Source organism: Homo sapiens, chromosome 8, assembly GCF_000001405.40.
Source record: "Homo sapiens chromosome 8, GRCh38.p14 Primary Assembly".
NCBI lineage: Eukaryota > Metazoa > Chordata > Mammalia > Primates > Hominidae > Homo > Homo sapiens.
The window spans coordinates 51709727-51733720 of record NC_000008.11 but is presented as its reverse complement, the minus strand read 5'-3'; the positions used below and the strand labels follow the sequence as shown (position 1 = coordinate 51733720).

Here is a 23994-nt window from a genome sequence, read left to right as displayed (position 1 = left end):
TTCTCCTGCCTCAGCCACCTGAGCAGCTGGGACTACAGGTGCCCGCCACTATGCCCAGCTAATTTTTGTATTTTTATTAGAGACAGGGTTTCGCCATGTTGGCCAGGCTGGTCTCAAACTCCTGACCTCAAGTGATCTGCCCACCTCAGCCTCCCAAAGTGCTGGGATTACAGGCGTCAGCTACCATACCTGGCCTGTTTTTTCCTTTATTTATATTCCTCCCTCACTTTGTTCTTCCCTCCTTCATGTTTCCTCCTTTTCTGAGAACAAATCACCAAGAAATGGCAAGAATATGCTTAGTTTTATAAGAAACTAAAACATAGGGTGTGCAAATCTTTTACTTTGTTCTACTTTTATAAAACCAAAATCCACCAAGTGAGAACACTTGAGTTACATTTTGGAAGCCCATAGCCTTAAACTGCTTCATAGAAATGAGGGAAGACGGAGGAAAATACGTTACTTATCTGTATTCTTCAGAATGCTAGTGAATATGTTTTACAGTCTCAAGTAAGGTCACTACAGGGTTTTCCTTTTCCTCTTAGATTTACTCTTGGATTTGGTTCTAAAGCAACTGTTTCTAGAAGTCATGCTCATCCACAGATAACTACTGAGCACCTACCATGTGACAGGCACTGTTGCCAGAACAAAGCAGACAAACAGAATTTAGACTCTTACTCAAGGTGACAAATTGCTCTAAAAATGGCCACAGGGCACCTGGGGTTTGTAGTGAACAGAAAAGAACAGATTGTTGAAACCCTCCTGGGATCCCATGTGATATGGTTTGGCTGTGTCCCCACCCAAATCTCATCTTGAATTGTAGCTCCCATAATTCCCACACATCATGGGAGGGACCTAGTGGGAGGTAATTAAATTATGGGGATGGGTCTTTCCCAAGCTGTTCTCATGGTAGTGGACAAGTCTCTTGAGATCTGATGATTTTATAAAGGGGAGTTTCCCTACACACGCTCTCTTGCCTGCTGCCATGTAAGATGTGTCTTTGCTTCTCCTTTGCCTTCTGCCATAATTGTGAGGCCTCCCCAGCTATGTGGAAATGTGAGTCCATTAAACCTCTTTCCTTTATAAATTACCCAGTCTCAGGTATGTCTTTATTAGCAGGGTGAGAACAGACTAATACAGTAAATTGGTACTGGTAGAGTGGGGCGCTGTTGTAAAGGTACCCGAAACTGTGGAAGCGACTTTGGAACTGGGTAACAGGCAGAGATTGGAACAGTTTGAGGGGCTCAGAAGAAGAGAGGAAGATGTAGGAAAGTTTGGAACTTCCTAGAGACTTGTTAAATGGCTTTGACCAAAATGCTGATAGTGATATGGAAAATAAAGTCCAGGCTGATGTGGTCTCAGATGGAGATGAGGAACTTGTTGGGAACTGGAATTAAGGTGACCGTTGCTATGTTTTAGCAAAGAGTCTGGTGGCATTTTGCCCTTGTCCTAGAGATTTGTGGAACTTTGAGCTAGAGAGAGATGATTTAGGGCATCTGGCAGAAGAAATTTCTAAGCAGCAAAGTGCTCTTGGGTCCTGTTAAAAGCATTTGGTTTTATGTATTCACAAAGATATGCTTTGGGATAGGAACTTAAGTTTAAAAGGGAAGTACAACATAAAAGTTTGGAAAATTTGGAGCCTGATGATGTGACACAAAAGAGAAACCCATTTTCTGAGGATAAATTCAAGCTGGCTGCAGAAATTTGCATAAGTAATGAGGAGTCCAGTGTTAATTGCCAAGACAATGGGGAAAATATCTTCAGAACATGTCTGAGGTCTCCACAGCAGCCCCTCCCATCACAGGCCTTGGAGGCCTAGAAGGAAAAAAAATGGTTCCGGGCCCCTTGCTGTGTGCAGTCTCAGGACTTGATGCCCTGTGTCCCAGCCATGGCTAAAAGGGGCCAAAGTAGAGCTCAGGTCATTGCTTCAGAGGGTGCAAGCCCCAAGCTTTGATGGCTTATACATGGTGTTGAGCATGTGAGTCCACAGAAGTTAAGAATTGAGGTTTGGGAACCCCTGCCTAGATTTCAGAGGATGTATGAAAATGCCTGGGTGTCCAGGCATAGGTGTGCTGCAGGGCAGAGCCCTAATGGAGAACCTCTGCTAGGACAGTGCAAAAGGGAATGTGGAATGGGAACCCCCACACAGAGTCCTAGTGGAGCTGTGAGAAGAGGGCCACCGTCCTCCGGACCCCAAAATGGTAGTTCCACGGATAGCTTGCACTATGTGCCTGGAAAAGCTGCAGACACTCAACGCCAGTTCCTGAAAGCAACCAGGAGGGGGCTGTACCCTGCAAAGCCACAGGGGTGGAGCTGCCTAAGACCATGGAAATCCACCTCTTGCATCAGTGTGACCTGGATGTGAGACATGGAGTCAATGGAGATCATTTTGCAGCTTTAAGATTTGACTACACCTTTGGATTTCAGACTTGCATGGGGTCTGTAACACCTTTGTTTTGGCCAATTTCTCCCATTTGGAATGGGTGTATTTATTCAATGCCTGTACCCCCATTGTATCTAGGAAGTAACTAACTTGCTTTTGATTTTACAGGCTCTTAGGTGGAAGGGACTTGTCTTGTCTTTGATGAAACTTTGGATTGTGGACTTTTGTATTAATGCTGACATGAATAAAGACTTTGGGAGACTGTTGGGAAGGCATGATTGGTTTTGAAATGTGAGAACATGAGATTTGGGAGGGGCCAGGGGCAGAATGATGTGGTTGGCTGTGTCCCCACCTAAATCTCATCTTGAATTGTAGCTCTCATAATTTCCACATGTCATGGGAGGGACTCAGTGGGAGGTAATTGAATCATGGGGGTGGGTCTTTCTTGTGCTGTTCTTGTGATAGTGAGTAAGTCTCATGAGATCTGATGGTATCATAAAGGGCAGTTCTGCATATGCTTTCTTGCCTTCCACCATGTAAAACTTGACTTTGCTTCTCTTTCACCTTCTGCCATGAATGTGAGGCCTCCCCAGCCATGTGGAACTGTGAGTCCATTAAACCTCTTTCCTTTAACAATTACCCAGTCTTGGGGTATGTTTTTATTAACAGCATGAGAACAGACTAATATACAATGTCAGTGTTTATTTGTACATAAATGTTTATTGATTGTTTACTTTTCTGCCTTCTTCCGTTAGAGAATTAGAGGGTTAGCCATTAGGGACAGAGATTTCATCTTAATCATCTCTACATCCATGGCATATAGACACATCAATGGTACATAGTAGACAATTGGTAAACTGTTCAGAGATTACTTGGGGGTTTTCTTCCTATCACTCCAAAATAAGGCTTATAGTTTGATGACACCCAGATTATGAAAATATAGCAATGATATATTCATAGAATGAGCTAGACATAAAAATTGGTTTTGAAATCTAAAATGTGTAATGAAGGAAAAAAATTCAGAAAAGGTTATTTGATTATGTTGACACTTTAAAGCAGACTTTATTATTTAGAGCAGTTTAGGTTCATGGCAAAATTGAGTGGACAGTACAGAGAGGGCCCATATGCCATCTTGCTCCTGTAAGCTACCCCCTGTCAATACCCTGAATGAGATGTTACAAGTGATGAACCTACATTGACACATATTTATTACTTAAAGTTCATAGTTATCACTTGGGTTCACTCTTGGTGTACACTCTAGGGGTTTTGACTGACGTGTAATGGCATATATTCACCATTATACTATCATACAGAATAGTTTCCCTGCCCTAAAAGTCCTCTGTGCTCCACCTATCCTTCCCCCTTCTCTTCTAACCATTGGCAAACATTGATCTTTTTATTGTCTTCATAGTTTTGCCTTTTCCTGAATGCCATAGTGTGTCACATAGCACATAGCCTTTTCAGATTGGCTTCTTTCACTTAGTAGTGTGCATTTGAGTTTCCTCCATGTCTTTTTATGGCTTGATAGCTCATTTCTGCTTAATAGTTCCTGGTGTGGATGTACTACAGTTTATCCATTCACCTGATGAAAGACATCTTATTTGCTCCCAAGTCTTGACAATGATGATTAAACCTTCTATAAACATCTGTGTGCAGGTTCTGTGTGAATTAAGATTTCCTCTATTTGAGTAAATGCCAAGGAGCACAGATGCTGGATTATATGGCAAGAGTATGCTTATTTTTGTAAGAAACTGCCAAACTTTCCCAAAGTGGCTCTACTGTTTTGCATTCCCACCAGCAACCAATAAGAGTCTCTGCTGCTCAGCATCCTCACCAGTATTTAGTGTTGTCAGTGTTTTGGATTTTGGCCATTCTAAATGATTGTGTAGTGGTATCTCATTGTTTTAATTTGTAACTTTCTAATGACTATGATATTAAGCGTATTTTCATATGCTTATTTCTCATCTGTATATCTTCTTTGGTGAGGTGTTAGTGGGGCTTTTACCCATTTTTTGTTTTCTTATTGTTGAGTTTTATTTTTAGGTATATTTTGGATAACTATCTTTTATCAGAAATATATTTTGCACATATTTTCTTTCAGTCTGTCACTTGTCTTTTCATTCTCTTGACAGTGTCTTTCACATAGCGTTTTTAATTTTAGTGAAGTCTAGTTTAAGTTATGTGTTACTTAACAATGGGGGTAGGTCCTGAGAAATGCATCATTAGGTGATTCTGTCATTGTGCTCTCAGGCTACAAACCTATACAGCATGTTACTGTACTGAGTACTGTAGGCAACTGGAATACAAGGGTAAGTATTTATGTATCTAAACATATGTAAAATAGAAAAGGTACAGAAAAATACCATATAAAAGGCAAAAACTGGTACACCTATGTAGGGCACATACCATGAATGGAGCTTGCAGGATGGAAGTTGCTCTGGGGGAAGTCAGTGAGTGAGTGGCGAGTAAATGTGAAGGCCTAGGACATTCCTGTACACCACTGTAGACTTTATAAACACTGTAGACTTAGGCTACACTAAATTTATAAAACATTTTTCTGTCTTCAATAATAATTAAACTAAGCCTACTATAAAGTTTTTCATTATAAACTTTAATTTTTTTAACTTTTTTGATTCTTTTATAATAACATTCAGCTTAAAACACAAACACATTTTACAGCTGTACAAACATATTTTCTCTCTTTATCTCCTTATTCTATACATTTTTTATTCTTAAATTTTTAAATTTTTTTTTCATTTAATACTTTTTGTTAAAAATGAAGACACAAACACACACATTCGCCTAGGCCTGCACAGGATCAGGATCATCAATATTACCATCTTCCACCTCCGTATCTTGTCCCAGTAGAACATCTTTGGGGCAGTAGCACCCATAGAGCTGTCATCTCCTATGATAGCAATACCTTCTTCTGGAACACATTTTGAAGGACCTGCCTGAGGCTAATTTACAGTTTACTCTGAAAAAATATATAAGCAGAAGGAGTAACTAAAATAATGATTAAAAGTATAATGAGTATATAAATCAGTCACATAGTCATTTATTATCATTATCAAGTATTATATACTATACATAACTGTATGTGCTAGACTTTTATAACACTGGCAGCACAGTAGGTGTGTTTACATCATCATAACCACAAACATGTGAGTAATGCATTACACAATGACCTTACTTTGGTGATGACATCACTAGACAATAGGAATTTGTCAGTTCCATTGTAATCCTATGGGACCACCAGTGCATATGTGGTCCATCACTGACTGAAACATCGTTATGTGGTGCATGACTGTATTTAATGTGTTAAGCAATAGAATACATATGTGAAATTTAAGAGAACAAAATTTTACTTTTAACTTTTCTTTTTTGTTTACTCTCTTAAAAGGAAAACTTTAGAGAAAATAAATTTAACAGAATCTATTTAAACAAAGAACAATTCATGAACTTGGGAGCAGTCAAAACCGGCAGAGCTCAGAGTGCTCTGCTAGAGTGAGCACTGAGCTTTCAGAGGCTGAACGTGGAAGCAAAGTTAAGACATTTCCTGATTGCCTACCATAGGTGTTTGCCTCATTTAGGCATAGCGTGATTGTAGATCCCTAGTTCCACAGCTAACCTGGTGCTTGACTGTTTGTGGTTGACTGAGTCTAGGTGTTTCTTCCTTTTTTTTCCTTTTTTTAGTCAGTTATAAAAAAATGCCCTCCAAGTCAAGTTTCAGTTTGCTTACATAGTGCTCTGGGTACAGAGGAAACCTTAGGCCAAGGGTCTCCTCTTATTTGCTTTAACAACTCTATATTCTCAAAGTAAATTTTTGGGTTTTGTATTCTTCTAAGTGATCCTGCAACAGTAGACAATTGTAAACACCAGCATTGCCATGAAGAGAAATGTTTTTATAGTATTTTGCATTATTGTTTAACTTCATTCGTTTTTGTTATGTTGGTTATGGCACAGATGTTTATGGACCCCCACTGTGTAGTAGTACTACGGAATCATTTTTATGTGCTTTTACTTTGATTTGAGTGTATGTAATTGTAAAATGATACTATAGATTAAAAGCAAAATTACAAAACAAAATGCCATGCTCTTTAGTACAATCAACATAAGGCATTTAGGGTCAGTGTTTGAAATTCCCATGCAAACTATCTTGTTCCTAGTCTGCACTTATTATAAATACTTGTTTTGTAGCATCTCAGGAACAATTTATTTCTTGAGGCAAAACATTTCTTCCAATTTGTATTATATTGGTGTCATCTTATAAGTACAAATGGAGTAGTTAGACTTTCATTCAAGATATGCTTCACACTCTTGGCCATGGAGGGAGGCCCGCCAAGGACCATGATTGTTCTGTCATTTATGAAGATGATAGAGCCTTTCTTGAACTGGAGGAAAAGGGTTGAAAGTCCTTACTAAAACTGTAAAGTATTGCCTGGGTCTAAGAATCTAGTAGTACTTTGAAACTTTATTCAGGTAGATTATTCCAAAATGGTGATAAATGAAATTAAACTTTTCAGTATAGTAGGTTATTTTTTTCAAATCCTAGATTTTTTTAAATAAGCTTTTAGTGGCTCAATGTAATGAAAATATTGAAAGGAGTCACACCAGATTCATTAGCTTTGTAAGTCACTGCAAGATTTATTTTAGGTGAAGCCTTGTGCTGCTTTAAGTATCATGTAACGTTGAACATTCTAGGAATCTGCTATCTTCTAACCTAGAATGTGAGTTAAAGAATAGTTCAGGTGAACGGCAAAGAATAGTGATGAATAAAAAGGCCTTATAGGCAAGTATGAAGACCTGTCTTCCTCATCTTCTGTGTGTTTGCATAGTCACGTCTATGTTTTTCTGGTCCCAGGCGGTTTCTGTGGGCACAAAGAGACGTAAGACAGGGAGGTAAGGGCAGCCATCATGGGCCTTTCAATGAATTCCATTTCTCTTGGGTTTACCAAGCCAAAGGTGAAGTGGGATGTAAGCAGGCTAGAGGATCCAGAAGTATGAGAGCTGGCATAGAGCCGGCGTGTTCATCCACTAGTTAAGGGACTTTGGGCCCATGGGTGCTGAGAGCTCTTCGCTCTACCTGGGGCGCCAGAGGTAATGGGACTCATTCCTGCTCCCATGGAGCTTGTTTTAGTGGGAGAAATGAACTATTCAAGAACTGATTTGAATAGATTGCAGTTAGAGCTGCAATAGAGATATACACACAGGGCATCAAAAAACGCTGCATTTCTTTCTGTAATGTTTAAGTCTCAGAATCAAGGACAGAATTTCAAGAGATTCAAGATGACATTGGACAAATCCTTTTTATTTTACAGTTAAAGCTGAAGTTCAGAGACTGAAGTGATTTTATCAAGGCTACATCAATAATTAACGACTGAACCAAAACATAGAGGCCAATGTTGTTGAAATGGTCAGTGGTCACACTTAAGCCTAATGAAGCAAAGTTTTTGAAAAATTAGGGCCCATAAAATCAGCTTACACATGTAAGATGACCTGTGTCTTACCTGTGTGTGAATACTTGCCTGTTGACCATTTACTATCTGTCCTTGCAGAACGCAAAACACCTTAAGGTGTCTTACTAAAGAGAACTGGGTTCTATCCCCAATCAAAATGTTCTTTAGTTGTTCCCACTGTCCCAGGACTTATAATTCATGCCTGGGAGTGCTTGGTAACACAGATTTCACAACCAGGCAGCTAATGCAACGAGGAGCTTCAAGGGCCTGAGGTGGGAGATGTTCTTCTCCTTCCATGGTGGAGGCCAGGACAACGCTCCCGGGAAGGAAAGAGAACACTCTGACCCTGAATGTGTTCTTATCATAGAAGCCTTCTATTCTGGAAGTGCTACTTTTATTTTGTAGCTAAAATGATCAAAGAAAATAAAATAAGTGGTGTTAGAAACACGTTTACAAAAATAAATAGAATTTTCAATCAGTTTACTCAGATTTCTTCAAGTACTACTACTAATAAAAACACATCTTTTATTTCTAATGCTCTTATTTCTTGCCAATGGGAAAGACAAAAACACCGACATGCCCACCCACTGTGGCAAATGTTGTATTATTTCTGTGATCGACGGACATGGTGCCATGGGAATGAGGATGGGGCTATTGATTGTCAACAAATATTTATGGAAGATCTGATACTTTCTAGACATTGTGGGTGCAGAAAACCCATAAAATGATCTTGTTCTCAGCACCTTATTACATGGTTGAATAGAAAAGACAGCAAATACCCAGAAATTAGTAATAAACACCCGGAGTTCGAACCTGCAGAGAGCCATAATGGTGCCACTGCACTCCAGCCTGGGTGACAGAGTGAGACCCCATCTCCAAAAAAGAAAAAGAAAAGAAAAAAAAATTAAGTGTCCAAGGACAATAGGTGGAGTCTGTGAGTTAGAGGAGTCTGGCTCCTGGATGAGGGGAGCAATTAGGGGGTAGTTCCTGGAGGAAGAGCTGGGCTGGGGTGAACTGAAACACACGTGAATTTTAGTGATTGCTGAGAAAGGCAATAGAGTTCATGGCACTCACAAGGACAGGGCAGGGGATCCTTAGACGATAAAAAGCATGGACAGGGAGCTGAGAGCTTTCAGACTATTTCAGGTCTCACATGGGCTAAGATGGCTTCTACAGGGCTGGGGCGACCCACACAAAGCCTGTTACTCATCTCTGCCTATGGTAGACTTTGCTAGTAGTGTCCATGGCATTTTATGGACTAAGGAGAACTATGTATGGTGGCACGCAGTGGCCTACTCTCGAAGGGCAGAAACACCCTCCACAGGTAAACACAACTTCAGGTTCTCTTGAGAATGCTCTTCTTCCTGAGATCTGATTTTTCCTTTTTTTTTCTGCGATGTCATGTGGTCATCAGCAGCTAATTTACATAACAGATATGTCTGTTGTCTCAGGCCTTGTTTGGAGACCTGAGACTGCAATGGAGAACCAAACAGATGGGGTCTCTGTTCTCCAGCAGCCCCGGGTGTGCTTCCCAATCTCCTCTGATGACATCTCTTACTCTGCCTGCTCTTAAAAGCAGCTGTTCCTTATAGGCCTGTCCTCTAGGATCCTTTCTCTACATACGCTCCCTTTGTGGCCTCTTCTACTTGGATGCCATCAATTAACAACCTTGCAGAGATTCCCCAAATAGCCATTGTAGCCCCAAACTCTCTCCTGAGCTCTGGCCAACAGTCTCCACCCGTCCTCCCAACCTGCTCCTGTCTTAGATGGGTCACTGCTCTGTGAGTAGCACCCCACCCCCACCCCTGGTCCGGCGATAGCCAAGAGAGGCCTGTTCCGCTCCATGCCTCCCTCTTTCCTTTTCTGCACCTTCCACTCCTATTCAATTCAACCCTCAAACTCCTCCATCTTATTTCCTCTTCTCCACCCCTGCCTTACAGTCGTCTTGTTCAGGTGCAGATCATCTCTCTCCTGGATTATTCCAAGTGGCTCCCACCAGACTCCCTGCTACCAGTTTTACTGTCCGCAATGCAGTCCTCTCATTGTCAACAAAAGTAAACTTTCTATAAAGGCAAGCCTGACCGCGCCCCCTCCCTGCCTAATGTTTTCAGTGGCTGTCGACTGCCCTTAGGAAACAGCCCCACCTCGCTCAGAGGAACTTTGTCGACCTGCTGGTGCTCCCGCAGCCCAGGGCCCACCTTCGGCAGGTGGCTCACTGCTGAATTGCTCCCGCCACATAGGGACCCTGAACTGCTGTCACAGTGGAGCCCTCCCAGGTCTCTGTGACTGAGGAAATGCACACAATGTGTTTCTCTCCTTGATGAACTTCTCTCCATTTGGGCCACAGCAGAGCCTTTCCTAACATTCTGGACTAGGGTAGTTGGGTTGGCTCAGGGCTTGCTTGAGGCTGATATCGCCCGTGCAGGACTGCCTGTCTAGTGTCTCTTTTACCTGATACGGCACGAGTTCTGGGAAGCCAGCATCTGAGTCTGGTTTCACTTTTGATTTTTCCTTTTCTCATCTGTAGCTGCAAGGCATAGATGAATTAGGAATAGTAAATTCGAGTCTGGATTTGAATCCAGGTCCATTTGACTCTCAATTTGTGTTTCCTTTACCACATTCCTGTTTTCTCTAAGTTAACTTCACACTAATTAGAAAAGTAAAGATTTTTTTTTTCTGAATACTATCCAGAAGGGAGACTAATTGTCCTTTATAGATTTTTCCCCCAGATGTTCTGCTTGTAGACTTTGGCTAATATAGCTCTATCTTGTGTCTTTTTCTTTTCTTTTCTTTTTTTATTGTGTGTGGGGCAGGTATATGCTATAGAAATGAATTCTTGAGGCCATTTTGCATCTCCACATACAGCACCTAATCTCAGCTGTTCTACCTGAGACCCCTTGAGTGCCAACCCTAGTGATACAGACTGGAGACAGGGAAATACTGGATAGAAAAAAGAAGTTCCCTGGCAAAGGCCCCACCCCCAAGCTTGGAAACCCATGGCCCTAAATGAGAACAGGCACTCCTATTTTTGCTCCCTAAAATAGAAAAAAAAATACTGCCTTTTGGTCTGCCATGTCCCCATCCTGTACTCATATAAACCCCAAACCCCAGGCTCCATGAGGGGACAAACAGAAGAGCAGAAGAATGGCAGAATAGTGCAACATAAAGAAGAGAAGGAGTGTCTGAATGCTGAGAGGAGTTTGGCTGGGGACAGTTGGAGACAAGATTGGCCACTGGGCAGCCAAACCCCAGGGGAAGATCGTCTTCCCACTCCATCCCCTTTCCAGCTCCCTATCCATCCCTCTGAGAGCCACCTCACCACTCAATAAAAACCCTGCATTCATCCCTGAGTCTGTGTGTGACCTGATTCTTCCTGGATGCTGAACAAGGACCCAGGTACCAAGAGGGCACTGAGTTGGTTAACATGTAAGCCATCTGCGAACTGCAAAGCTAGAAGAGTGCACTGTGACATGTGCCCACTTGGGCTTCAGGAGTCTCAGGCTACCACCCCTGGATGCCGCTGTGGGGTCAGAGCCCAGGAGCTCTGGCCCTGGCTCCTGCACCTGCTCGTCTGTGTGCTCCCCCTCCCATAGGGGTTGGAGTGCGCATAGTGGCCAAATAGATGAGCCACATCCCTGTCGCATGTCCTGCAAGGTGGATCAGGGAACTCTCCCATTTCACTAGTCCCTCTTGCTACCCCTTTTCCTCTCCAACAATTTGAAAGCAACAATCATGAACCAGGGAAAGCTCAGCCGACTGCAGGCACCAGTGTGCATTGGTGAGAAAGCAACTGCTTGCGGAAGGAAGAAGGTGGTCCGTAGAACAGCAGCAGCAGATTAGAAAAAACTACAGCTCTCCTTAAAGAAGTTAGGGGTAAACACTATCTCTGGTACTGAAGAGGTGAATATGTTTACAAACCAATGAACAGCAATCCACTTTAGCAACCCTAAAGGTCAGGTATCTCTGGGAACACTTTCACCATGACAGGCCATGCTGGGACAAAGCTGCTGAAAGAAATGCTACCAGCTGGTTTACCATTGTAAACCAGCTTGGTGCAGACTGACTAGTTTAAGGAGGCTGGCTGGAGCTCCACCAAACTATCTGTAGATGGAAAAGCAGCACTTGCTGCTGGAGAGGATGATGATGATGATAGTGAAGTTCCCGATCTTGTGGAGAATTTTGATGAGGCTTCCAAGAATGAGGCAAAGTGAATTGAGTCAACTTCTTTTTTTTTTTAATTTTATTATTATTATACTTTAAGTTTTAGGGTACATGTGCACAACGTGCAGGTTTGTTACATATGTATACATGTGCCATGTTGGTGTGCTGCACCCATTAACTCGTCATTTATCATTAGGTATAGAATTGAGTCAACTTCTAAAGAAAGTAGAAGTTGAAGAAGTTACTGGGAGCTGCTATTTTATATTATGACTGCTTTTCAAAATTGTTTATGGATCTCATAAAATCTAAATCTATAATATTTTTAAGCCCAAGTCCCTTGGATACTGCAGCTGTTTTTAGTTTTTGTTTATACACAATTCATTCTTTGCAGCTAATTAAGCTGAAAAAACCTGGGAATAAAGTTTGAAACAAAGATGAATAGAGTTCTTTGCCTAATTAAAAACAAAAGAAGTGAGTTCTTGAGTGTGAAGAGTGTTTTAGTTTTCGTGGTCTCTGCTCGTTTTCAGTGCCAGCCTCACTTTCATCCATGCTTGATTCTGGAGTGCTGGTGTGCCCTTTGAAGGTTGTCTGCAGGTTGAAGCTCAACCTGGAGCCAAAGCTCTGAGTCTTGGGGTTCAGCCAGGAGGCTCTGAGACTTGTTCACGGGCTCTGCAGCCTCTGAGACAGTGCTTCAGCTCCGTCCCTGTCACTATCTGGAAGAGCCACGGATATCCTGGGGCCGTGGTGGGACAGCTTTGGGAGGAAAATGAGATTTTCTTTGCATGCGATCGAGCGTCTGTGTCAGCCTGTGGAGTTCCCTCTGTTGTGCCTGGAAGTACTGAACACTTGCTCTTATCTTGCCTTCACCGGCCTAGGCAGGAGCCTGCACAGGGCCAGTGGGGAGCTGGCAGCAAGAGGGAAAAGCGCCGTGACCACTAGCCGACTGTGTGAATATGCTCTTTATTCTGCTGTAAAGGTGATGGTGTTGGTGTCCTAGATGCTTCACCAAAATATCCAGCTAGGAAGTGAGAAATATATCTAATTTTCAAGAGTTTATTAAATTAATCTGATAAACTTGAATTTAGGGATTATTCAAGTGAGACTTCATCTATATGCTGCTCAGAAAATACCCAAAATATTTACAGAATATCAGGATAGCACATTTCTTTTTAAAATTTTGGTTAATAAAAATAAAAATACTATGTATAAATTCTCAAAAAAGAACATACTTATTCACATGTGATTCATATAAATAACACCACAATTATGCCAATAAGTCTGATTTATAAATAGTATCTATTTACAAATAACAGCTGACAGTAAAGTAGGAAGTTGGGAAAATAAACATGAATGAAAACCCTTCCAAAAACATATTCAAAGTGTAATAAAAAATTACTGAGTATTAAACATAGCTTTAAAAAAACAATTCAGACATAAAGGATAATATGTCACATAAGTTGTTTTTTAAGAACAATTTGCTTCTGTATAAAACTTCCCCCAAACTTAGGAAGTCTGATTTTTTTTTTTTTAGGAGGGAATAATATATTTTATTGAAATAAAGAATTAAAATATTTTTATTATAAAAAAGAAAATACTGTATTTTCTTTTATTACTGAGGTTTCTTTGCATCCCTTTAAAATTTGCCCCTCAAATTAATGCCTCACTTACTTCACCCTAGTCCCGGCCCTGCTTCAGGCCTAGCTGAATCCAGAAGTTCAAATGATCACATCATGACTCAGTTCCTTTGGCTCTGCTTGTATTTGGTTTGGCTCTATGTTAGGCAGGTGCTTTCTACATGTGGCTTCTAATACTCACAGTCTTAGATGTAGAGAGGCTGTTTCTCTTCTAAGCGCACCGCTTACTGATCTTTGAAAAAATATTCTGCTTGAATCCATCTGAAACATATGATACTCTGGAAGAATTTTTGAATGATAGGGTACCCTCCAATCCAGGAAGATGTGGAGTTTCTGGATTAATCCTCGTTCCTTTCTTTTTGGAAACTCAATATTTTTTTAAAAAAATCATGTTTATAGTTTTTAAAATTCTCATTAGAAGGTAGAAATAGTTTTTTTTTTTTTTTTAAATTGATCATTCTTGGGTGTTTCTCGCAGAGGGGGATTTGGCAGGGTCATAGGACAATAGTGGAGGGAAAGTCAGCAGATAAACAAGTGAACAAAGGTCTCTGGTTTTCCTAGGCAGGGGACCCTGCGGCCTTCCGCAGTGTTTGTGTCCCTGGGTACTTGAGATTAGGGAGTGGTGATGACTCTTAAAGAGCATGCTGCCTTCAAGCATCTGTTTAACAAAGCACATCTTGCACCGCCCTTAATCCATTTAACCCTGAGTGGACACAGCACATGTTTTAGAGAGCACCAGGTTGGGGGTAAGGTCATAGATCAACAGCATCCCAAGGCAGAAGAATTTTTCTTAGTACAGAACAAAATGGAGTCTCCTATGTCTACTTCTTTCTACACAGACACAGCAACAATCTGATTTCTCTATCTTTTCCCCACATTTACCCCTTTTCTATTCGACAAAACAGCCATCATTCTCAATGAGCTGTTGGGTACACCTTCCAGACCGGGTGGCGGCAGGGCAGAGGGGCTCCTCACTTCCTAGAAGGGGCGGCCGGGCAGAGGCGCCCCTCACCTCCCAGACGGGGTGGCGGCCGGGCGGAGGTGCCCCCCGCCTCCCTCCCGGACGGGGCGGCTGGCCGATCGGGGGCTGCCCCCCGCCTCCCTCCCAGATGGGGTGGCTGGCCGGGTGGGGGCTGCCCCCCGCCTCCCTCCCGGACGGGGCGGCTGGCTGGGCGAGGGAGGAAGTCTGATTTTTAACACAAATGACTAGTTCAGGATCCTGGTGAATTGAAAATATCCACCTTTTAAAGTGTAAAATCAGTGGAGGAGCTCATGCAGATGATCAGCATGAGTGTACCCTAATACACCACAGAGGGGCCAAGAGGCAGTCCTCAGGGGGCATATGAGCTGTCACAGTGGAGACTGTGAAACAAGATACTTCAAGCAGATGTGTCCATCTTTGAGTTTTATAGCACAGGGAATGAGATGTCACAGCATACTTTTCAAAAGAATTCTATGAAAACTATAACTGAAGCAAATGTGACTAGTAAGCAATGAGAAGTGTGCCCCTTTAGGGCAATGTATGAAAATGCAGTTAGAGGCAAACTATGAAGTTCGAGCCACGGTTGGTATTTCTTGGTTCACTTTGGAAGCCTGCTATCTTTTTTGAGAAGAAAACCAAAAAGATGAATGCTGGAAAGTATATGCATGATTGAATTACAGATAACTTCTACTTTTTTTCACCTAACCTCCAGTACAGCCAAAGACATTGGCGCTCCCCATTCCTTGCCACTCACTAAAGGGTGGAGAGCTTCCCTGCTGGGTCCAGTGCTAAAGATGGAATTCCCCCACAATCTCCCAGCTCCTCCCCCTCAGTCCCTGGCCCCCACATGGAAGGTGGTCTCCCTCCTTCCAGACCCCTGAGGCTGCCTGTGGCTGTGGTGTTGGGGTCTGCTTGGGACAATCAATCCCAGGCCTTGCTTTCCTTCCTGTGTACTTGCCCATGCTCCTATTCCTTCCAACCAGGCCTGCCTCCTCAGGCAGCTGTGTCAAAAGCAAGACATTTAAGACAAGTGGTGACTGCTCTCTGCTTTCTCTTGATTAGAGAAGAATTTAGCACAAGTTGTAGTAATTAAAAAAAAAAATCTAGCTCATTTGCTCAAAGGACAACAGTTTAAAAGAAAACATATTCAGCATGACTCTCACTTTGCTTTTAGGTGACAATAAGGTTTTGGAAACCCCCCTTATAATTAGCCAGGGAGTGGCAGCTGACTCTGGTGGTGGCTTGCCCAGCATCCATTCTCGTTCCCTTTTGCCAACAGAATCCTGCAGGGTGACACTGCCTGACCACAAATACTCATCTTCTCTCCCTCTCCTGCTGCTGCAGAGGCCAGAAAGGTTGGGCCAATGAGGCCTATCCTGGCCCCACTCATGGGCACTATTTCCTTTTCCCTGAGCCCCTCCTCTGATTCCAGCTGCCCTGTGGTCTCTGGTCACACACAAGCACTGATTATGCAGGGACAACCTTGTAGCTTGTGCTTCCAGCCCAGGTCATGGCTTTCATTTTCTGCTGTGGGGCTTCTCAGATCCTGCAACATGGGAAGCCCACACTAGAGATGTGGGATGTTAGCATTCGTGGAGCACCTGTGACTGATGGGATGGCAGCAACAGACAGATGTGTCCCCTTTTATCTGCCAGGTCTAAGTTCTGAGAAGCATTTGGAAGACTCTGCAGTTCTTTTGCAAGACATCTATGGTGCTGGCCAACTGGATAATGTGTCCTTAGAATGGTTTTTCCCCCTTTCCAGCTTTCTTCATTCCTCACACCTGCTCCCTGAGATCACATTCCTATGTAAACTCCCTGCAGCTATGTCTTTATCTCAAGCTCTGTTTTCTGGGAAACTATAGTATTATAAGATGTCTGCAAGAGCAGGAATCCAGGGCATCTTTTTAAAAGGAAGAGACAGATAAAATTGGTAAGCCCCTTCTTTCTCATTCCCACTGGTAAAGACAAAAGTCATTTTGTCATGATGAGTGTGAAGGCCACATACTAAGGATAATAAAGCACAAACGTTGTCACTGTTGACACTGCTGAGCAACTACAGCCACCTAGACAACCTCCTCTGGTCTTGTATGGTGCAAATAGTTCATCTGTTTGGGTCTGATTAGGATTTTCTGTTATTTGCAGCCCAAATCATTCCTAACTGATAGAGTAGAAAACAACAACAAAAAAAGAGTTCTTGGATTTACAAATCTTAGGGTAGTGATTAGAATCTTGCCTTTTGAAAAATCTTGCATCTCTTCCCCTTGCTTGCTATGAAGGGCCCGAGGGAGCCTTCTCTGCTCTTCCTGACAATTACAGGAGCTAGGGGTGCAATCGTTTTCCACCTGCCTTTGGGGATGCCTGGTGTAGGTCCAGTGCTGCCAATGTTTTCTTCTTGTTCTTTTACTTTTCCATATTATTATTTACTTTCTGAAATATGAGTTAGATACACAAAAAGTAATATGGAGAAAATCATGGCACACGTTTGGAGCTCTTACACTATTATCCTTATGGATTCTAAAATGTCTTTTATCACTCACAGGGCCTTTTCCTCACTAAAGGTACATTTGGCTTTCATTGATTCAGCCTTGTTTCACAGCAAGAGTGCAGTAGTTTACAAAAACACATAGCATGAAGTGAATTAGTTAACTGCACCTCACTTCAACTAGCTTGACTGAAAGTTAGTCTCATTCCATGGAATCAGCAAGAGGGAAAGGGGAATTTATGTGTTGTGCACTTCAGCATTTGAATATATGATTGTTTTAGGATTTTTGTCTTTTTGAAGGTGTAGCAAGGCTGCCAGAAATGCAATGGCTCCAAGGTACAGCTGTCAAGAAATATCTACCGAAAGGGTATTGCTTCATTAAACATAGATCTTTCCTTTGTTCATTAGGATCTTGCCAGATGGGAATTCAATGTTTTGAAAGCAGGCACCCACATGGAATTTTGTTTCTGACATTGACGAATGACTGAATCTCTCCGTGGAGTTTTGTTATGGGGTGTCAGTGAATGTTAGCTGAGGGTGTGACTGTAACTTTTCATGATACAGAGATCTGTAGGTGTCAAGCCAGTCTATGGTTGAGCAATCATAGTACAGCATCCATATCTATAAATCAAAAGGGTAGAGGCAAACTTTTGAATTTAAATTTGCATATTGTAAGATTCTTCCAAGTGGACTGAATAGCATTTTTTTTTTTAAACTTCTGTTGAACTTTCAGGTAATGTCATTTACTGTGCCTGATGAGAAATACAGGCAGCACAGATAAAACCCTGGGTTGCTGATCAGAAGAACCAATAGCCAAAGCAATGAAGTTACTCCTGCCTTAGGTTACTGTACCTCCTGAGTCAGCTGACACCTGGTACCTCCGCACCATTAACTTGACAAGAAACCCCGCCCTATATTCATAAGGATCTTTGGAGGGTGAATAAATTATTTCTATTGTAGCATTTGCAGACCTCCTCATATGGCAGGTGCTTTGCTACGTGTTGCTCTTTTGTTACGTTCTGCCGCAGGAGGTCAGTGAGGTGCCTGTTTATGGAGTTGGAGAAGCTAAGAATCAGAGAAGTTAACACTTATCTCAGTCACTTAGCTAGTAAATGGCACAATTGACGTTCAAACCTAATGTGTCTGACTCAAAAGACATTTTTTTCATTCTTCTCTACTGCTTAGTGTAGTGATTAAAATCGTGTGTGGTGGAGTCAGTCAGAGTTCAAGTCCCTGCTTCGCTGATGACTAGCCATGTCTTTCTGCAACTAACTCAATCTCTCACCCTCTCTGTTTTGCCATTCAAAATCAGGTGTATCTTATCGTGGTTTTGATTTGCATTTCCCTGATGATCAGTGATGTTGAGCATCTTTTCATATTCTTCTTGGCCCTCTGTATGTCTTCTTTGGCGAAATGTCTATTCAAGTCCTTCACTTATTTTTGAATTGGGTTGTTTGTCTTTTGTTGTTGAGTTGTCAGAGTTTTAAAAAATACTTTGATATTAATCCCTTATCAGATATATACTACATTTAATATTTATCTTTTAAGAAGCAACAGAGGCCTTTTAAAGAGCTGAGGAAAATGGCAAAAAATATTGGCAACTAATGCTGCTCTCATGATATTCCCCATAGTGGAAACTCATGAAGGGTTTTCATTTGGCAACTGTAGAAGTTGGACATGCTCTCTTTATGGCACTTACAATTTATTCTTTGGTAGAAGGAAGAATATTAACAACTCAGTAATGTTTTCTCTGTTTCCTTGAAAAAAGACAATTGCAGCTTTTGAATTTGTAAGTTGAGTAGGAAAATAGAGGATAATACCAAAGCAAAAAGGTGTCTGAATGGAAAGGTATTTCATTTGTCCATTCAGGAGATTTGTTTTACTTTACAAAATGGTGCAATGGAACAAATACCTATGTTACCATTTTCCTTCCCCTCTTGTCATTTATTTTTCCTTTGGACTGTTATCCTCTCCTCTGAACTGTTCTCTGTGTGAAAATGTTATACCTTCTTGATTTTCAAATGCTTTCAGAATAGCAACAGGTAATGGGAGATCAATATTTAACAATCTCCATATTTAAACTTAAGCATTTTCCAGAATATTATAACCCCAAAATCTTTTTTTCCCATTGAGCCATTAAAAAAAGAAAATAAATTAAAAGCACAGAGAGCCTCCCAGAATGACTGAAGTGTCTGTTTGCTCTAGATGTACTTATATGGCCAACAGTATAGTGGTAATAGAATGCTATTCCTCAGTGCTATGAAATGAAGATGGTGGATAATAGCGCAGCAATATTACTAAAACAGAGAAATGATGTCTTGAATTCATTAAAGTGCAATCTAGCCAATGATAAGTCATCCTTCCATGTGGCAAAAGAGAGAATCTGGGTGCACAAAATATGGGCATATTTGTTAAGTCAAAAATATAAGGCCTAGAGGATAACATTCTACATAATGTGGCCAATGTATGCTATAATCATTAGGGATGACTTAATTTTACTTATTACAATATTCTAATCTTAGAAAGGAGTTGAACTCAATGTACTATCCATTTTGAAGAGCTTTAAAAAGCATTTCAGTGTGATAAAAATTACCGGCTCTTGTTATTTTGTAAAATTTTCTTCATTTGAAAACTCCAAAAAACAATTCATGGTTTTATTTATATGGATTTTGCAAACATAAATATGTAGGGAATTAAAGTGATAGGGAGGAAAGGTAAGATTGTGGGTTTTTTTGGTAGATCACTTTTATTACAATAAAACAAGTGACTATTTGCTTGGATCTAACATTATTATCTGTTGGGAATACATTTCAACCCTAATTGAGATTAAAGGCCTGCAACAGTAAATCAGATTTTGCTAATCAGCTCTTCTTATACTACAAACGATTCCTCAAAAAAATGGCAAGCAGTTTATTTCTTCATTGAATTTTTTTTCTACTTTGATTACAAAAGGATAAAGCTTGTTTGACTAACCAAGTCTTTTAGCATATTAATTTACACTTAATGAATTTTTTGTGGTGAAACAATTGGCCCTTAATATACATGGGCCTGTGGTTTTATCTTCAGATTACTTGAGAGAAACCGGCTCAACGAGGTGTGAGGACAACGTTGGCCAGCCTTGCCTATTCAACTGGGGTGGGTGACAGAAGGCTCTGTTTCTGGGTGATGGTTAAAGGTATTTCATTTCATTCTCAAGTGTCCTTGTTTGAATGCCAAGTTATATAATCATTCTACATTTAGCCAGCTGCTGCTTATGATAAGACTGCCTAGGAATTTAAAGTTCCTTTATTTAAAAAAGACAGGCATATCAAACCTGAGATAAGGAATGCCTTGTGGTGCTATCTATTTCAGGTGAAATTTTCTATGTGTTTAGCCTTAGGGCAGCTATGCCTTTGCATAGCAGCAAGCTGATATTATAAATACTTCCTAAAGCACAAGTTTATCTAACATGATTTTCTGAAGATTCAAATGTATGCTTGTTTTAAGTTAATGCTTTTCATATTAAGTCATTTAGAAATAGCCAGACATATTTAAACTCCAAATACTAGTTTAGCAGAATTTTTATTGACTCACATTTTTAGGAGAAAGATAAAAATAATCTTAAAATTAGCTCACGTTAGAGATTTAATTGTGATGAGTACCCTTTCAGCTCAGCCTTCCAGATTTTTTATTTCTATGGTTTATTGTTGCATAATGAGAAGTAATGTTTAGAATGAGTGCTCTGAGACTCTGCAAAATCATGAATAATTGAAAAAAGTCATATTTTTCTTACCCATTAATCATAAGGTATTAGAAGTATTTTCAAAACAGAAGTTTGAAAGGAATATTTTAACAGTTGCCAGGAATTCAATAAACCCAATTATACAGTTTCCTGAGCATTGTGTTTAATCTAGATTTGTCTGTAAAATGTGCCATAGATAGAATGTAGACTTTTTTTCTTATACTATAGAAGCTAAAGTCATTATATTTTCTTATACTGTAATAACTAAGGTTGTCTGTTTACATTAACTTTGATACATGTGATCAGTGTCCAAATACTTATTCAACAAATGTTAATTAAGTTAGTACTATGTCCCAGGCATGATTCTAGGTGCTTGGGATATGAGTGAGTTAAACAGAGAAAACCTACTGCCCTCATTGGGCTTACATTTTAGCAGAGAGAGAAAGAAAATACATTAGAAACACAATAAATAAACATATGCTATAGTATTTCAGATGGTAAGGAATTCTACATAAAAGAAAAAATGAAAGTAGAGTAAAGCCAGTCAGATGTGCCTAATGAAAATTAGCTGAAATCAGCCCAGTAGTACCATAGGTAGTTTTTTTTAGATAAACACAGAAATGGACCCTTTTGGTCTTAAAGGTTGAAACTTACATTTGTTTTATCTGAGTTCCCTCCTCAGGAAATGGCCTTCAGGCCTCTCAAAAAAGAAAAAAAAAATCAAAGAACTGAAACTTACCATGTTACCACACCCAGACAATGACATGCCAGAGGCCTCATTCCTCATAATTGCTTCCTTGTCTCTCTCCTAGTTCCTGGTTTCTTATACATTGTTGCATTTCTTCCCTGCTATTTAAACCCCTAGTTTTAGTCAATCAGGGAGATGGATTTGAGACTGAATTCCCATCTCCTTGGCTGCAGTACCAGAGTAAAACTTCTTCTTTGGCAATACTTGTTGTCTCAGTGATTGGCTTTCTGTGCTGCAAGCAGCAGGACCTAGAACAAACCCCTGGTGTTTCAGTAACAATAAATGCTGGATAAAAAGAAAAATGAGAATAAGGTAAGGACAGTCAGATATGCCTAATGAAAATTAGACAGCTACAAGTATTTTTTGTTGACACATTATAAAATAACTGTATACTGCATATATATACTTTTGGAAACAGTGGTCTAGGCCAGCATTTCCATTTGGAAATTGTAGAATACAAAGTTCCTTAACAAAACAAAGTCACTTAACAAAAGTAAGTTGACAAAAGTAATTGGAGAATAGAATACATGTAGTTTTTAGAACTCATAGCTCTCTGGTTCCCAACCATGTATTATTTCTTTTTCATAATTCTGGAGCTTCATGACAAACTCTCAACTGTATTAGATCTTTGTAATGTTTATAATTTGAAGACAAGCCATATGTATAACTGAAGCAAACAATCACAATACATTGATATGTTCAAGAGATAATTTCGGCTGGGTCCGGTGGCTCATGCCTGTAATCCCAACACTTAGGGAGGCCAAGGCAGGTGGATCACTTGAGGTCAGGAGTTTGAGACCAGCCTGACCAACATGGCAAAACCCTATCTCTACTGAAAATACAAAAATTAGCCAGGCATAGTGGTGTGTGCCTGTAATCCCAGCTACTTGAGAGGTTGAGGCAAGAGAATCCTTTGAATCTGAAAGGTGGTTGCAGTGAGCCAAGATTGCACCATTGCACTCCCGCCTGGGTGACAGAGCAAGACTCTATCTCAAAAATAAAATAAAAAAGATAATTTCAAAGTTTTAATTGCTAGTTTTCTATATTTAATACCATGATATCTGTAAACTGTGACAATTTAACTTCTTCATTTCTGATTTGGATATCTTTTATATATTTCTTTTTCTTACCTGATTTCTCTGGATTTTCAGTTCTACGTTGAACACATATGGTGAGAGTGGGCATTCTTATCTTGTTCTTGATGTTAGAGGAGAAGCTTTTCATTTTTCACCATGGAGTGTGAGGGCTGTGAGCTTGCCATACATGGCCTTTTTTGTGTTGAGGTCATGCCTTCTATATCTAATTTGTTGAGTTTTTATTATAAAAAGATGTTAAAATTTGTCAAATGCTTTTTCTGTATCTATTGGTATGACCATATGGTTTTTGCCCTTTGTGACAACATGGACGAACCTAGAAGACATTATGCTAAATGAAATAAGCCAGGCACAGAAAGACAAATACTTCATGAGCTCACTCCTATGGGGGATCTAAAATGGTCAGACTCATTCATAGTACCAGAGAGCAGAATGGCGGCTACCAAGGCCTAAGGGAGGTGGAGTATGTGAAGAGATTGGTCAAAGGATACAAAGTTTTCATTAGGAGAAATAAGTTCAGGAGATCTATTGTACAACATGGTGACTATAGTTGGTTGCATTGTATTGTATATTTGAAAATTGCTATAAAAGCACATTTTAAATGTCCTCACCCCCCAAAAAATTGATACATATGTGAAGTAATAGATTTGTTAGGTAGCCTGATATAGCTATTCCAGAATATATACATATATCAAAGCATCATGTAGTATACCATAAATATGTATAATTTTTCTTTGTCAGTTAAAATAGATTCTAAAAATTTAAAAAGAGACAATTTCATGTTCACTTGAATGGAAGGAGAAATCTATTTGCTTCTATAAAAGTGATACAATATAAAATCTAGAGCAAGACAGATTTTGTCTGGCTGCCCAGAATCAATTTTTGGTGGAGTCTCAGAGCCTACACTGGGAGTGGTGCAGTTAAAGGGATTAGCAGAGCAGACAAAAGGGAAAGCTGGGAAATAAGGACAGGAAATATTTTTATCTCTTTTTTCAAAGTTTAAATACCTTGATTGGCTCCTCTGGCTAAAAAGGCAATAGATGGTTATTATAAAAATGCTTATGGATAATATAAACATTATAATCAAAGTTGTCAAAACTCCTACTCCTCATTAACATTTAGAGTCTATCATTCTGGACTATTTGTGTGCATAGATATTTGCATATTGACTAAAATTTCACATAGATAATGTGCAAAACTTTGTGAATCAATTTTGTTTAATGATATTCTATGAACAATATTTTTGTTATACTATATTGTGAATATCATGTAAATGATGTTGGTACATACATATATACATATGTAGTTAAGTACATGGATATCCTTTTTAC

General features: G+C 40.2%; 1 protein-coding gene and 1 pseudogene across 7 annotated transcripts in view, besides 1 other annotated feature; both read left to right on the top strand.

Moving 5' to 3' along the window:
* The window catches only part of PXDNL (peroxidasin like), a 489869-nt gene that overhangs the window by 75725 nt on the left and 390150 nt on the right, over nucleotides 1-23994 (top strand). The window lies entirely within an intron of this gene.
* BTF3P1 (BTF3 pseudogene 1) lies at nucleotides 10675-12465 on the top strand (annotated as a pseudogene).
* Nucleotides 14035-14536: an enhancer, noted in NCBI's record as "NANOG hESC enhancer chr8:52631745-52632246 (GRCh37/hg19 assembly coordinates)". NCBI's record gives its function as "activates a minimal SCP1, AML or CMV promoter by ChIP-STARR-seq in primed H9 embryonic stem cells {active_cell/tissue: H9 hESC(primed)}" and the evidence as "EXISTENCE:reporter gene assay evidence [ECO:0000049][PMID:30033119]".